At 39.5% G+C, this 17,271-nt stretch overlaps 1 protein-coding gene and 1 long non-coding RNA gene across 5 annotated transcripts in view, besides 1 other annotated feature; one reads left to right on the top strand and one right to left on the bottom strand.

Moving 5' to 3' along the window:
- Positions 1-17,271, bottom strand: part of CPB2-AS1 (CPB2 antisense RNA 1) — a 48,500-nt gene that overhangs the window by 7,870 nt on the left and 23,359 nt on the right. The gene's annotated exons all lie outside the window — the stretch shown is intronic.
- CPB2 (carboxypeptidase B2) overlaps positions 1-17,271 on the top strand; it is a 51,848-nt gene that overhangs the window by 11,556 nt on the left and 23,021 nt on the right. For all 3 annotated transcript variants that reach the window (NM_001278541.2, NM_001872.5, XM_017020393.3), the window contains exons 2-5: positions 5,658-5,733; positions 9,135-9,259; positions 10,929-11,037; positions 14,577-14,678. In NM_001278541.2, the coding sequence (NP_001265470.1) occupies positions 5,658-5,733; positions 9,135-9,259; positions 10,929-11,037; positions 14,577-14,678 (412 nt within the window). The remainder of the gene's footprint in view (positions 1-5,657; positions 5,734-9,134; positions 9,260-10,928; positions 11,038-14,576; positions 14,679-17,271) is intronic.
- Positions 6,235-6,734: an enhancer, noted in NCBI's record as "H3K4me1 hESC enhancer chr13:46660879-46661378 (GRCh37/hg19 assembly coordinates)". NCBI's record gives its function as "activates a minimal SCP1, AML or CMV promoter by ChIP-STARR-seq in naive H9 embryonic stem cells {active_cell/tissue: H9 hESC(naive)}" and the evidence as "EXISTENCE:reporter gene assay evidence [ECO:0000049][PMID:30033119]".

The raw sequence follows: 17,271 nt of genomic DNA, 5'->3' as shown, positions 1-17,271 counted from the left end.
TGTTACTGCTGAGCATTCACATGGTTTTTAGGTTTTGTTACTATGAATAATGCCGTAATACACATCCTTGAACATGTATCTTTAATCAGTGGTTTAATAGTTTATGCTAAACTTGTACCAGAGATTGACATAAAATTTCTCAGTCTAGCTACTTTTCCCCTCTTCTAATAAGCAAGTCTCTCCATAGACTTATTTCCAGAATTCAGAATATTTTACTCAGGATTTCCAAAATAAAGCCACCCTCCACCCTTGTTAAAGTTATCCTTGGTGGGCGCGGTGGCTCACGCCTGTAATCCCAGCATTTTGGGAGGCTGAGGCGGGTGGATTGTCTGAGGTCAGGAGTTCAAGACCAGCCTGACCAACATGGTGAAACCCCATCTCTACTAAAAATACAAAAATTAGCCGGGCATGGTGGTGCACGCCTGTAATCCCAGCTACTCAGGAGGCTAAGGCAGGAGAATCGCTTGAACCCAGAAGGTGGAGGTTGCAGTGAGCCAAGATCACGCCATTGCACTCCAGCCTGGGTGACAGAGCGAGACTCCATCTCAAAAACAAACAAACAAACAAAAACAAACAAAGGAAAACAAATAAAATTATCCCTATAAATCACAGCTCAAATGTTACCTTTCTAACTTCTAATTGCCTACAAGATAAAGTCCAAATTTCTCAGCATGCATTCAAGACCTTCTCTAGGGAAGGATGAACATAACTTCCCACACTCATTTCTGTTTAGCTCCCATTCTTCTCTTGCTTTAAACACCCGTATCCTATACTTGGCAACAATGAACAAGAGCCATTTTTCCAAAAATGCCCTTTATCTCTTGCTATTGTGCCTTTACCCACTCTTAGACATTCTTACACACCCAGACATCCCTTCTATGAAGCCTTTGCTAATAATGACAAACAGAAGTTATCATAACCTCTTTTGTGCTTTGAGAGCTCTTGGTACATGGTTTTCTTAAATAAGATGATTTATTTGGAATATTTTTAGATTTACAGAAAAGTTGCCAATTGTAATACAACTGTATACCCCTCACCCAATATACCCTAATGTTAACATTTTATATTATCATGATGTATTAGTAAAAACTGAGAAATCAACATTGTTATATTACTATTAACTAAACTCCAGACTTTTTTGGATTTCACCAGTTTTCCCACTAAAGCTCTTTTTCTGTTCCGAGATCTAATCCAGAACACCATGTTGCATTTAGTCATAATGTTGCTGTTGTCTAATGTCTTGAGTGCTGTTGTTCCATACATTTTGTCCAGGTTTTTAGTTATTTCATAAAGGAGGGTATAACTGGAAGCAAAGTCTAAGATTAGTTTTAAATAAAGCAAGAGGAAGCATTTTTTCTAATTTAAAATATATCTATCGTCATATTTCAAGGGCAATATTTGTTTGAAAATAAAAGAAAAATCTCGTTCAGTTAAAAAAAAGGGGGGGCTCAGAGCTGGCAAATGCCACCAACATGCTTAATTTTAATTTAAATAAAATAGTTCTTGTGAGGTTACTCAGTGGTATACTGGAAACCTGAGAATGCCATTGCCGTTAACAGAGTCCACAATCCCTCACCTCACTGCTTCCTTTCTCTCCTTATCACTTACCTATAAAACTGGATGGAGAGCTGCAGAAATGAGGACATTTGCTAAGAAATTCTTTCTTTTCTAAGTGGTATGTGAAAATAAAGTAAATTCATGTTGAGTCACATTAATCTATTGCCTTGGCTGTGTAAGAATCACCAAGAATTCTCACAACCTTAGCAACAGTTGCAAAATAGAAATACAACAAAGCAAAAGTGAGAAAACCAACCAAGTGTCTGCTTTTTAAACAATCTATTGATATAATTCACCACATTAAGATATTAAGCCAGAAAACCCATATGCTCATCTTATAGAAAGCATTTAAAATCCACACTTATTCATCATAAAAACTCTTAACAAAGAGCAAGGAGTTTTTTAAAACTGATAAAAGACATCTACCAAAAATCTACAACAAGCATTCTAATGGTAAAATATTTTAAGGTTTTTCTTAAAAATTAGGAATCATGCATTTTATCTCCACTTCTATTCAATGTTGTACTGAAGTCCCAGGCAACACAGCAAGACAAAAAGGAAGGGGAAAAGGGGCTCTATAAGCATTGAAATTAAAGAAGCAGAACGTATTAAAAGTACATTAAGTACATTAAAAGTAACGGCAAAAACCGCAATTACTTTTGCACCAACCTAATAGTGTGTGCAGATGTAATGATTACTTGCAAAGAGAAATATCCCCCCAAATATCTATACCAAAATTATCAAAACTACCAAGAGAGCTAAATAGAAAATCAACACCAAAAATCATTTTTATTTCTATATCTTAGCAAAAAAGAGCTTAGAGGTGGCATGTTAAAAGTTACCATTTACTAACGAAAAGGCAAATTTGTTAGAAGAAAACATAATTTAAAAATGTGCAGCCGGGCACGGTGGCTCACGCCTGTAATCCCAGCACTTTGGGAGGCTGAGGCAGGAGGATCACGAGGTCAGGAGTTCGAGACCAGCCTGACCAACATAGTGAAACCCAGTCTCTACTAAAAATACAAAAAATTAGCCAGGTGTGTTGGTGTGCACCTGTAATCCCAGCTACTCAGGAGGCTTGAGGCAGGAAAATCGCTTGAACCAGGGACGTGGAGGTTGCAGTGAGCCGAGATGGCGCCACTGCACTCCAGTCTGGGCAAAAGAGCGAGACTCCGTCTCAAAAAGAAAAAAAAAAAGTGCAACATCTTTATGGATAAAATTGTAAAACTTTTGGAAAGGCATTAAAGAATAGATAAATGGGCTGTGTGCAGTGGCTCACACCTGTAATCCCAGCACTTTGGGAGGCTGAGGCGGGTGGATCACGGGGTCAGGAGTTCGAGACCAGCCTGACTAACATGGTGAAACCACGTCTCTACTAAAAAATACAAAAATTAGCCAGCCATGGTGGTGTGCACCTGTAATCCCAGCTACTCAGGAGGCCGAGTCAGGAGAATTGCTTGAACCTGGGAGGCGGAGGTTGCACTGAGCCAAGATCGCTCCATTGCACTCCTGCCTGGGTGACAGAGTGAGACTCCATCTCCAAAAAAAAAAAAAAAAAGAATAGACAAATAGACAAATTCACTGTATTTATTAATAATGACACTCAGAATCATGAGTATATCTGTTCTTTCCAAATTATTAATCTATTGATCCAATATAATTCTAATGAAAATTTCATTTTTTTCATGAAACATAACAAGCTGATTTTTAAAAATTATGTGAAAAAGCAAAGGATCAAGACAAGAGGCTTGTAAAAAAAAAAGAATTGGGCAGGGCAGAGGGGAAGCAAGAGTTTGTTCTCTAAGATATTAGGATGTAATATGAAGCTACCATCACTAAGATGAGTAGTATTGGCTCAAGGGTAGACAAATATATCAATAGAACATAATAGAGAACTAAGAAATAGAGCACATTATATTAGCAAGGGTAATCCTTGATTATGCTATAATCACTAATAAAACCTGAAACAGCTTTACTTAATACAATATAGGGTTAATTCTGTCTTAGTACGTTTGGGCAGTTATAACAAAAAATACCTTAAGTGGTGCAGCTTATAAACAACAGAAATTTATTGCTCACGGTTCTGGAGGCTGGGAAGTTCATGACAAAGCACCAGCTAATTCTTGTGTTTGGGGAGGGACTATCTTCCGCATAGACAGAACCTTCCCGCTATATATTCACATGGTGGAAGGGGGAGGGGATCTCTTTTTTAAGGTCACTAATCCCATTCATGAAGCCTCTCCCCTTATGACCTAATCACCTCCCAAAACCCTCATCTCCTAATACCTTGGAGGTTAGGATTTCAACATAGGAATTTTGGGGGGACACAAACATTCAGATCAGAGCAATTTCTCACTCATAATACTAATTGATGAAGGTCATAGAACTCTCCCTGGTGCTCTCCTTCAACTTGGAGATCTTGGCTGCTTCCATTATGCAACTCCACATTTGAGGCTCTTTGCTTCTGGCCGCAGGATGAGAGGGGGCACGTGCACATGAAGACACACCTACTCTTAGGCACCTATAACACTCCCACGCATTCCCATTGGCAAAGCTCAGGCACTGGCTCTCAACACAACCACACGGAAGGCTGGGTAATGAAGTTTTTCTGTCTATGCAGGAAGAGGCAGTGGTGTTGATGAACCAACATTTTCTCTGCCAAACAGTATGGAAACTTGATATATGACAAAATTGACATAGTGGATCCCTGGGAAAAATATAGATGATGTAAAAAATCATAATAATAAACGATGCTAAGAAGAAAAAAAAAGAAGTCTATTTCTTCTTTACACTGCACCCAACCAAATAATTTTCAATTGAATTTAAAATTTAAATAAGAAGGACAGAAGAAGTATATGAGAATATCTTTATATCCCAGATATCTAGAAAGACATCTTAAACCACACAAACCTGGAAGGAAATGATTAAAAAAAAAAAAGCACATCATCAAGAAAGAGAAAAGACAAATTACAAACTGCTAGAAGATATTTGCAATACATATAACTGACAAGAAATTAGTATTTAGAATATATAAAGAAATTATACAAATTAACTACTACAAAAATACAAGTAAATTAGAAAAAAATGGGCAGTTGATCTGAATAAACATAACATATAAGCAAAAATATGAATGGCCGATAATCAAATATAAACAACTGTACTTCATTAATAAGTCAGAAAATGAAAATCAAAATCACAAGAAAATTTCATTTCATAAAAATTTGATTGCAAAAGTTGAAAAGTCAGAGAGCATCAGGTATTGGCAAGGAGGAAGAACAACAGGAAATCTTTTCCACTGCTACTGACAATATAAATTGATACAAAAAACTTGAGGACTGATATGACACTATCCTATGAAATTAAAACTGTGCATATCCCATGAAATGGCAATTCCACTTGTAAGAAAATGCTTTCACGTGTGAACTATGGCTAGCTACTTCAACACAGATGATAATCTTGAGAATACAATACCGAACAAAAGAAAAACAAGATTCAGAAGAATACATATAGTATACCATTTTTATAAAGTTGAATCAGGCAAATCTAAGGGTATTGTTTCAGAATTCACACATACATGTGTTTAAAAATCCATGCTATAAAGAAAAACAAGGGAATGAGCAAAAGTCAAAATTTAAGGTAGAGGATACCTCTGGTGATGTGGCAAGGGGGTAGGACAGAGAGGAGCACACAAGGATCTTCAGGATGTCAAGGAAGCTGGACTTTTTAAGTGGGGTGATGGGTTCACAGGCATTCATTTTATTGTATAATTAACTAGGATCAGCATAAATATTCCCTTATGCATCAAATATTTAATTTTTAAAATTAAAACACACATGCACGCACAAGAAAAAGGAAAGAAGTAAATACTCTGTAAACTGACCCCCAGTCAAGAGAGCTGTTGATTTTGCAATTGCTTAGGAGCATAAAGACTGAGAGTATATGTTCTCTTATTACACTGAATCTGTAGTAAGATCCTCTGTCCTAATAACATTTTAAATTTTGTTTCCCTTTTGCAATTACCTAAAAGCTCCTCACAGTATAATATATTCCATCTTTACTCTTTATTTAATATCAAAATCCTCTTTTATTTTTTTCCCCAGTGGCCAAGTTCTAGCTGCTCTTCCTAGAACCTCTAGGCAAGTTCAAGTTCTACAGAATCTTACTACAACATATGAGGTAATTTCTCCCTAATTTATGTTTATATTGGTTTCACTTTGTATAAGCACTGGGTGTTGAGTTTCCTCCTGTATGTTGTCTGGCTTACATGTATCTGGTATGAACTCTTCTTCTCATAGTCTTCTCTCCCTTCTCATAATCACATGATTTTGTTGGTTCCCCAAATCAACACTTCTTCACTTGTGCTATTGGCTTTCCAGCCAATTTCATAATAGTACCTTGGGATATAAAGTGTGCACTTACAAAGAGGCTACAGTAACAGAAATTAAAATATTTATAAATAAAACCTTACTCATGAAACAATGGTTCTTAACCAAGGATGCACCAGAAAGACAGAGTACATTTATTAAAATTCTCACCCAGGCACCCATCTCGACATAATGTCTAAGATGTAGAAAATTGACAAGAATTACAGAATATTAATGGCAGTGGCGGCCCATCTAGAGCGGCTGCTGCCATGCGGGAGGCACGGCTGGGGCTGTGTGCTCCACGGAGCCAGCAGAAGCCAGGAGGAGGTAAAAGTCCCGCCCCCTTCTGTGATGGCAGGGCGGCAGCCTCATGCTCCCCAGGCGCAGCTGCAGCTGCCCGCTGCAGCTACAGACCTGGACATCCCTGTGCTCTTGGGGGCCAGGAGCAGGCAGGAGCCCTGCCCTCCTGGGCGCAGCTGCAGCTGCCCAGCTGGGGTTGCAGACCCAGGCATTTCTGCACTCTCAGTGTTCTGAGAAGGACCCTCATTCCCCTACAGGCTCGCAAGTGCCTGCTCCCACTGTCTGGTCTCTCCGAGTTCCTGGTGCTCACTCCAATCTTGGAGCAAAATTGAGGCTGAGCCTAGGTGTTGTCACAACCTGGCTGGCTGTGTGCATGATCAGAGCGGTACTGACATGCTAGCCCCCTGCTGCCTCAGCCCCCTCTGGACTTTGGGTACTGACGAGCACAGGAGGGAAGCCAAGGGGGTGGCTGAGGGCTTCTCGGCACTGGCCTGCAGGCCCCCTCAGCTGGAAAATCCTGGGTGCCATAAATAGCCGTAGGAGGCAGACAGGATCCTAGGCAGAAAAGGGCGGGTCCCTGGTGAAGCCCCACCTTCAAGCCCAGGAAGGCTGCCAGTCCCGTGGACCGCAGTGGGAACTGACGGTGATTTTTCCGCACCCGCCTATGGCCACCCATGAACCAATCAGCACTCACTTCCTCCCATCTGAAGCCCATAGAAATCCCCCGGATTCAGCCAGACTCTTCTGGAGAGACATGGGGAGGACCAGCTGTAGAGAGGAGCCACCCACTCCAGGGTCTCCTCTCTGCTGAGAACGAACACTCATCAGGACACCCTGGCTGCAGAGAGGAGCTACCCACCGCGAGTCTCCTCTGAGCTGTTCTATTACTCAGTAAAGCTCCTCTTCACCTTGCTCACCCTCCGCTTGTCCACGTACGTCATTGTTCCCGGGCGCTGAACCTGCCAAATGGTGGAGGTGAAAGAGCTCTAACACAAACAGAGCTGAAACACGCCCCTTGCTTGCCACGTTGTGGGTGACAAGAAGGAGAGAAGAGCTGCAGCCTTTTGGGGAGCTCAGACCTAAGAACTCCCCGAGGCAGGACTATGACACCCTCTTTAGGGCTCTGTGGTTCCTGACGTCTCCAAACTTCTGGGTGCCACCACCTTCCCCGGTGCCAGCCATTGAAGCTGCTTGAGGGACACCTGGTCCAGCCACAGCCTTGCAGGGAGCCGAAAGATGCCCACCCTGCCGCAGCCAGCATGCCTCGCTGTGTGTAGTAGCTGGACCCCACACCTGCTCACTCACACACCCCTCACCGCTCAGCTCGCCCTTGGCACGAATGAGACCCAAGCCAGTAGCACGAGATGAGTGCAGCCTGCCAGGCCGAGTGGGCTCAGCGGGCCTGAGCAAAGCTTAGGCAAAGGCGCCACTGACCACAGAGGTTTCTGCTGGTGAAGCGACCCCAGGGATCCTGTAACAATATCATGGTACAAAATTGATGGCTCCTTGTTTGTTAGTGTTTTCCAAGAAGCAGAGGTTAAGACTAGACTGGAGGAGCAAGCGATGAGGGGAATGCTGTTGGAGGATAGAGGCGGGAGCTGGAGAAGGCAGAGAGCATCATCAGACCATGTCATAGCTCTGACACCTCTGCAGAAAGGGGAATTTTGTTTGGAGAATCTCAGACTATAGGGCAGGTCCAAAGAAGGCTGGGCTAGGTCAGTCTCAGTCTGGCAAGAATGGGCCTGCATTAACACTTCCACAGGACTCGGTTACTGGCTGGATGCAGCCCTGAGACCACATGGCCTCAGCTTCTAGTGGGTCACCAGGGCAGCCACTGAAAACACCAGCCAACTGTATTTCTCTCAACCGAAGAGCTAAATGGTGCATATTCACGACCACCACATCATGGTAAAGAGGAAATACTACAAGAGGAAGCATCTGAGATTTAGAATTCTAGTTCTTGTTCTGTCATTTCTAGGTGTATGATTTTAGATGTCAGGTATGAACCTTAATTTCTTCACCTGAACAATGCAAATAATAACACCTGCCTAGTCTATATCAAAGCGTTATAAATATCAAAGGAAATGAGTGTGAAAGTGCTTTGAAAAAGTACGTGTAGTGGCTCGTGCCTGTAATCCCAGCACTTTGGAGGGCCGAGGTGGGCGGATCACGAGGTCAGGAGATCGAGACCATCCTGGCTAACACGGTGAAACCCCGTCTCTACTAAAAATACAAAAAATTAGCCGGGCGTGGTGGCGGGCGCCTGTAGTCCCAGCTACCCGGGAGGCTGAGGCAGGAGAATGGCGAGAACTCGGGAGGCAGAGCTTGCAGTGAGCCAAGATCGCGCCACTGCACTCCAGCCTGGGAGACAGCCAGACTCCGTCTCAAAAAAAAAATAAAAAATAAAAAATAAATAAATAAATAAATAAAAAGCACATTAAGAGAGAAAAAATGTAAATCTTATTGGAAGCCTTTTTAAAAAAAGGAAAAATGACATGATGATAATTACAAGAACATGAAATTTTTATTAAATAAAATCAATGTTTAATCAACTTTCTTTCTAGAAAAAATTTTGTTTCCTTTCAAATATCTGATGTACACATGCAATTTTACAGTTAAGCCATGAATATAGTCATTCATTCATCATTGTCTCATCAAATATTTATGGATTATCTTGTATATTCCAGGCCCTTTTATTTTATTTTTTTTTAGCAACTAGAGTTATAGAAAGGAATTTTAAAAAACTCACTGCAAAATAAATGTTTATATTACCATGTGTGTGGATGGGGACCAGCACCAGGGAGTGTCCTTTTCATACTCCTTATAGATAAAACTGTCATGGCTCTAGCTACAGATGAGAATGATGTGAACAACTCTTTTTTAATTTTATCAATTTTGCCCCTTAAACTGTAGATTGTTCTCTGGCAGCCGGTAACAGCTGACCTTATTGTGAAGAAAAAACAAGTCCATTTTTTTGTAAATGCATCTGATGTCGACAATGTGAAAGCCCATTTAAATGTGAGCGGAATTCCATGCAGGTAGGCACCGTTCAATACGTATTGAGTAGTTATTATAAACACTTACTATGCACTTGACTAGGGTATGGTATAATTGCTTCCTGGAAAAATAAAATGTATTAACCATGGCAGCATAGAAGTCTCTGACTGGACCAAATGGACTGGTGATAAAGCCTAAGGTCCAGCTCTGTGATCTTGGATAAATGGTTCAACCCCTCATGACCTCCGTCCCTTATCTAAAATGCAGGTTAGACTCAGTGATTGGTAAAGGCTCTCATAGTTCCTTTTTCTCTGACTCTGTACCCAGACTCAGGGAGCAAAACTGTCATTTGCCTTGGTAGGCTTTTTGATATCTCCTGAAAAAGCAGCTTCGGGAGGGGATTTAGCTTCTGCTAATTCTTCTTCACAAAGACAGTGACCATTTCTGAATGTCTGGCTTTAAAAAGTGTAACAGGTGGTTGGACTCTGCAGAGACCTCGGGTTAGTCTGGCACTGCCCCTTACCACCTATATGACCCTGGGGGAATTATTCACCTCTCTGCTCCCAAGTTTTGTATATTAAGGGTAAAAACAGCACCTACCCTGTGGATTAGAAATGATTTCCTTTTCTTAAAAAGTGTATCAGGTACAATTTCTGCTCACAGTCTAGCCTTCTTCTTATGGAGTCTCCTAATATCTCCCCTCCATATCCACTGCCCAACTGCCAGTACCTTCCTGGTGGCCTGGCCCCTTGAGACCATGCTCTCTTCTGTGTATCAATGGGTGCCCCCTGGATAATATGCTATGTTAATTATTAGTAATATATTATAGAGTATATTATAGGTGTGTACTGTTTTCCAGGAACTGTGCTGAACCTTTCTATTAATTGACATTGTGTCTATTAATCTTTATTTAACCCCGTGAAGTAGATGCAACCCCATTATATAGATGAAAAAATATCCTTACTTATAAAGGAATTTTTCAGGGTAAATCAGAAAGAACATGGCAGAGTTAGGAGTCGAACTTAGACCTTTCTGATGTCAACACTGCGGCTTTTATTTATTGGCCTAAATAAAAGTAAAGAACCCTTTATTAGTATGATAGCTAACTTTCAACTTGTCCATCTCAGGCGATAGAATGCCTGAATTCAGCTAAAATATTTGCCTGGTTAACAAATGTGGTGCTCTGAAGAGAACTTGAATGAGATGCCTTTCCTGTACTTCCCTTTTCCTGTTCTATTTCTTTGGCTCTGCAGAACATCTGATGCAGGTCAATGGGGGAAAAAATAAGAAAAAAAAAAAAAGAAAGAAAAGGCTTTTCTGCTTCTTCTTCCTCTTTAACTGAAAACAGCATAATACAGTGTTAGTCTGGATTGAACAAAGGTACATTAATCCATATATTCATATAAAAGACACTGAAGAATCACCATTGAGTAATGTTGGTAATGGTGGGAAACGGTGGTTTTTATGGAGGTCCTGAAAGTATACCTAATAGGAGCTACTTTTTCTCTAGTGCCCATGTAGGCTCTACTGAAAGGGTTTGTCAACCAGTTTACCACAATGCGAGATGTCTTACTTTTACCTTGATGAAATGCTTATGAAGTTTCTTAGTGATTTTTTTTCTTCATGCTCACCTGCTGTGCCTGCAATGGGCCATGTGGGAAGATCCACCCTCTGCTTGGAAACTAGCTCACTCTCTGTTTCATCACCTAGTGTCTTGCTGGCAGATGTGGAAGATCTTATTCAACAGCAGATTTCCAACGACACAGTCAGCCCCCGAGCCTCCGCATCGTACTATGAACAGTATCACTCACTAAATGAAGTAAGCCATCACACAGCTCTTCAAAGCTACTATTTTCATTTAACCAGTATTGCCATTTCAATCAGGGGAATATTCAAGAATCATAATTGGTGGAAGATGGTAAAAAATAAAACACAAACACACTTAGGTTAATTAAATGGTGGTCATTCATTTTTTGGTAGATATCTTCCCTGAGAAGACTGCATCATATTTGGTAAACTGCAGGATGTTTGTCTACAGCTAAGAATATCTCTAACTGCTGGGAATAACACTTTATGCTATGGAACAACAGAAATTAAAGAATTGGGGCTTTTAATTAAAACTGCCACCAAAAAATTACCAGTCCAATTAATCATGTCTCTTTGGACCATTACCCTAATTTTACTAATTACCAGATTAGCTCACTGAATTAAAGGAATATATTCACTTATATTTAATACACTATAACTAATTGCATTTTATTCCTTAGAAGGAAGCTATTTAAACTAATAATAATAATAATGCCTTTGTTTTAATCTGTAAGAAATTGGATTTTTTTTCTATCAGTACTTACAGGTTCCACTCCTTCTAGAGAGAACTTGAGTAAGATGTTGATGTGCAGGTGAGACCTCAGCAAGCTTTCACATAATCCACTAAAAGCCATTCCCTGTATTTGTTAGTTGAAAGAATAAATTCGCAGGAGGACTTTCTTTTTTATATGATATTCTCCAAGTAGTAAAAATACCTTGATGCCTTTTTATGAGTATGCAGCTATATTGCCTAATATAACTATTTTTGTCATCTTTGACTAAGTGCCCAGAAACTATTAGGGACCATATCCATATTTTTAAGACATCTAAGACTTAGGTAATGAGAATCAATTTTATGTATATAATCTTTAAAAGCATCTGTTCCTTCCCAGTTAATTAAGCCAGAGTCAGTATGCTTCTAGAATGTGTGCCTGGTTGATTGAGGGGGCCTTAAAATTGCACCCCCCCTTTTTTAATCTCTCCTACATCTATCCAACTTAGACCACCTCTCTCCAGCATCCATCAGCACGACTGCATGAGCAAACTTGATGCAGAGAGGCTTCATAGGTGGGATTTCACCTTCATAAAAGGTGAAACTGTCACTGCTGTGATAAGTTTGGTGGGGAGAGGGGAATGCCATAAACAGAAGTATTTTTAAATATTTGTTAAAACATATTTTAATTATTTTGTTCAAAAAAGTTATGTTTTCTTACGATATGTTCAGGAAAGAGTTGGAATGACACAGGAGGAAAAAATAAGCACATGGCTCTATTAGTTTTCTAGGGCTGTGGTAATAAAATACCACAGACTGTGTAGCTGAAATCACAGAAATTTGTTTTCTCATGATTCTAGAGGCTAGAAGATCAAGGTGTCAGTAGGTTTGGTTTCTACTGAGGCCTCTTTCCTCAGCTTGTAGGTAGTTGCCATCTCACAGCGTTCTTCCTCATATGCCTTTTCTTTCCTTTTTTTTTTTTTTTTTTTGAGACAGAGTTTCTCTCTGTCACCCAGGCTGGAGTGCGATAGCATGATTTTGGCTCACTGCAACCTGCGCCTCTTGGGTTCAAGCAATTCTCCTGCCTCAGCCTCCAGAGTAGCTGGGACTAGAGGCGCATACCACCACGCTCAGCTAATTTTTTGTATTTTTAGTAGAGATGGGATTTCACCATGTTGGACAGGCTGGTCTTGAATTCCTGAGCTCAAGTGATCTGCTCGCCTTGGCCTCCCAAAATTCTAGGATTACAGGTGTGAGCCACCATGCCCAGCCTCATATGACCTTTTGTTTGTGCACATGCATCCCTGGTCTCTCTCTGTATATCTTAATCTCCTCTTCATATAAGGACACCAGTCAGATTGGATTCGTGCCCACTCTAAGGGCCTCATGTTGACTTGATCATCTCTTTAAAGGCCCTATCTCCAAATACAGTCACTTTCTAACCTACTGGGAGTTAGGGATTGAACATATGAATTGGAGAAAGGGGTACAACATCTACTCCTTAACTATGACATTATAGAAAATGTCTTGTGCTTCTCTTTGCACCCCCGCCCCTATTATTTTCTAACAGGTTCATAGGAACCATAAGCATTTTGCTCTCAGAATATTCCTCTAAGTGCTTCTTTCCCTTTGATCGGTGGTCTCTTGATCAGCCCTACCTACAAGATGGACTGGTGGGCAGCAGAGGTTATTTTGTCATTGACTCACACCAGGAGATCTTAAATGATCCGGTGTAGGGAGAAAGAAACAAATGGCCAAAAATTACTTCTTAGAAGAAATGGTGAGAGAAAAGAGTTCTTCAAAGGATGTTACATTATTACCCCAGCTTAGTTTGAGAAATGAATAAAGTCTGTCGGTTAAACTGCCTTCATATTATACAGCCTCTCCTGTTAGAGGAAATCTACTGAAGTATCAATGCATAAATTATTTTTTTGTGGTAGCTTTCTCAGATGTATTTATGCCTAGAAGAGTAACACAGGAAATGGAGATTCAATTAGGAAATTGCTGACAGTTACATTTCTGACACCCCAGACACTGACAGGGTCGGTACTTGGTGGCAGGTGGGCAGGAGCCCTTAATTCTCAGCATGGGGACAACCACTCACACCTACCACTCATGCTGGTTATGTGATCTCAGAGAACCCAAGGATAAATGGTGCTCCAGTTTTTACCAGCTAGGATTGCTATTTGAAATCACCTCTAGAAAAGTTCCCAGAGATAAAGCCAGGGTTTGATTGCTTCTGTTTCAGAAGGCATCAGAGTTTAAGAATGGACCCTGGAAAGTTGGTCCAAATTAAAACATAACCCAGTTCAATCCCAGCAATCCCAAACCAGACAATAATTCAATGTTTGCTTTGAAGTGGGTGCTAGCCTAAAGTCAGAATTTTTTTCTTTTCTTTTCTTTTCTTTTTTTTTTTTTTTTTTTTGCTTTTTCCTTCCCCTATTATCTTGACAGAACCTCAAATACAACTGGACTTCCACCCAAGAGAGAGGTCCAGAATCGAACTACTTCTTGGGGGGATAATTGAGTTTGTTTGTTTTTCCTCCAGATGGTCCCCACCTTTGCCTCTCATCATTGTGCCAATCTCACTGTTCTTGCACAGGTCTTTAGTGGGAAACAATGATGCTTCCATTTATCCTGCATGAAGACAGTGCTAAGGGCTCCCTTCATCTTGAAAAGTGCATTTTTAAAAAAGTCTCATATAAAAGTGAACTTTTGAATGAATGAGAACAAGAATTTCATACACAGGGGCAGTGACTCAATGTGATGACTTTAAAAGTAACTTTCAGGGGCCATAGTTTATAGATTAACTTTTCCTACCTCATTATAAGTATCTTAGCACTTTTTCACTCTTTCTCAAAACCTTGACACTTATCAAAACTTTAATTTTATTAATTTCCCTAAACAGCAGAAGAAACACCCTGCCCTAAGTGCTTTAGGTCCTCGTGCATTCCACATACAGAGGTTTTCCTTTCTCTGAAGAAGTTGTCTGCTTGCTTTGGTCAGGGAAATGCTTTGAACTTGGCTTCGTGACTAACCTCTGGTTTCCATTTTGCTAGATCTATTCTTGGATAGAATTTATAACTGAGAGGCATCCTGATATGCTTACAAAAATCCACATTGGATCCTCATTTGAGAAGTACCCACTCTATGTTTTAAAGGTATGTTGTGGGGAAAGTTGTTGATCTTTCACTGTGAGGGGAGGGATTAATTCTCCAGTCGTGTTTGTTAAAACTTGAGTTTGTTTCCTTTGAGTTCTGAAAATATTTGCATTACAAGTGTTCCTCAACTTTAATACCTGGCTATTTAGGGGTTGGTTATTTTTCCCATTAATAATATAGTCTTGTCCTGGTCTGTATGTCCTAATCTCCTCCCACAAGGACACCAGTCAGTCTGGATTAGTACCCACCCTAAGGGCCTCATGTTAACTTAATCACCTCTTTAAAGGCCCTATCTCCAAATACAGTCTCTAGGGGGTTAAGGCTTCAATTCTAGATGAATCCCAGTTCTAGAATTAACTCTGTTTCTGTTTATGTGACATTAGATAAGCCATTTAACATTTCCATAAAATGAAGGAAGTGGTGTTTATTTTTTTCAAGTCCTTGTTTTATTTTCGTTAGTGGACAAACACTATTTCTGTTAGGGGACAAACACTAACAGAAAATAAAACAGGGACTTGAAAAAATAAAATTAAAAATTAAAAAAAGTGGTGCAGCTTTTTGATGTTAATTTTTAAAAATTGATACATAATAATTGTACATGTTTCTGGGGTACATGTGATTTTTTTTCTCCCTCCCTCCTCACATGTGATGTTTTGATACATGCATACAATGTGTAAATCAGGGTATTTGGGATATCCATCACTTCAAACATTTATCATTTCTTTGTGTTGGGAACATTTTAAGTTCATCTTCTAGCTATTTTGAAATATTGTTGATTCTCGTCACCCTACTGTGCTACTACACACTAGAACTTATTCCTTCTATCTATTTTGTACCCACTAATTAATCTCTCTTTATCCTCCTTTCCCAGCCTCTGGTAATCACCATTCTACTCTCTACCTCTATGAGATCAACGTTTTCCACTCCCCATATCAGTGAGAACATGTAGTATTTGTCTTTCCCTACATAGCTTATTTCAGGGCATGTTGCTGCAAATGATAGGATTTTATTCCTTTTAATGCCTGAGTAATATTCCATTTGTTATCCACATTTTCCACATGCATATCCACATTTTCTTTATCCACATCCACATTTTCTTTATCATTCATCTGTTGAAGAACACTTAGGTTGATTCTATATCTTGACTATTGTGAATGGTGCTGTAATAAACATGGGAGTGCAGGTATCTTTTTGATATACTGATTTCCTTTCTTTTGGATACATACCCAATAATAGGACTGCTGGCTTATATGGTAGTTCCATTTTTAGTTTTTTGAGGAACCTCCACATGGTTTTTCATAGTGGCTGAACTAATTTACATTCCTACCAACAGTGTACAAGGGTTCCCCTTTCTCCACATCCTCTCTAGCATTCGTAATTGCCTGTCTTTTGGATAAAAGCCATTTTAACTGGAATGAGATGACATTGCATTGTGGTTTTAATTCACATTTCCCTGATGATTAGTGATGTTGAGGATTTTTTCATATACCTGTTGCCCATTTGTGTGTCTTCTTTTGAGAAATGTCTGTTCAGATTCCTTTCTCATTTTTAAAATTGGATTATTTGTTTTTTTCCTTTTGAATTGTTTGCGTTCCTTATATATTCTGGTTATTAAGTCCCTGTTGGCTGGATAGCTTGCACATATTTTCTCCCATTTTTTTCTTTTCACGCTGTTATTTCCTTTGCTGTGCAGAAGCAAATTTTCAGTTTGATGTAATCCCCTTTATCTATTTTTGCTTCTGTTGACTGTGCTTTTGAGATCTTACCCAAAAAATCTTTGCTGAGACCAAAGTCCTGAATTGTTTTCCCAATGTTTTCTTCTAGTAGTTTTATAGTTTTAGGTATTACATTTAATTCTAATCTGTTTTTAGTTGATTTTATATATAAGGCGAGAGATAGGCATTTAGTTTGAATTTTATGAATAAAATTTTTCCCAATACCATTTATTGACAAGACTGTCCTTTTCCCAATGTATGTTCTTGGTGCCTTTGTTGAAAATGAGTTAACTGTAGATCTGTGGATTTATTTCTGGGTTCTCTATTCTAATCCATTGGTCCATGTGTCTGTTTTTATGCCAGTACCATGCTGTTTTAGTACTCCAGCTTTGCTCATTCTGTTCAGCATTGCTTTGGATTTTCAAGATCTCTTATGGCTCCATATGAATTTTAGAATTTTTTTTCTCTTTCTATGAAGAGTATATTGATATTGACAGGGATTGCATTGAATCTGTAGATTCCATTCGGTAGTACGGACATTTTAACAATATTAATTCTTAAGCCCGTGAGCATGAGGTATCTTTTCATTTTTTTGTGTGTTCTCTTCAGTTTCTTTCATCAGTGTTCTATGGTCTTAATTGTAGGTCTTTCACTTCTTTGGTTAGATTTATTATAGGTTTTTTTTTTTGGTCATTGTAAATGGTATTTCTTTCTTGATTTTTCTTTTAGGTTGTCTGCTATTGTTGTATATAAATGCTACTGATTTTGTGTGCTGATTTTATAACCTGCAATTTACTGAATTTATCAGTTCTAACACAGTTTTTTGGTGGAGGCTAGGTTTTTCTAAATATAAGATCGTGTCATCTAAAACCAAGGAT

This window comes from Homo sapiens, chromosome 13 (assembly GCF_000001405.40).
Source record: "Homo sapiens chromosome 13, GRCh38.p14 Primary Assembly".
NCBI classification, from domain to species: domain Eukaryota; kingdom Metazoa; phylum Chordata; class Mammalia; order Primates; family Hominidae; genus Homo; species Homo sapiens.
The sequence above is the reverse complement of the archived record's forward strand: the minus strand, read 5'-3'. Positions and strand labels throughout refer to the sequence as shown.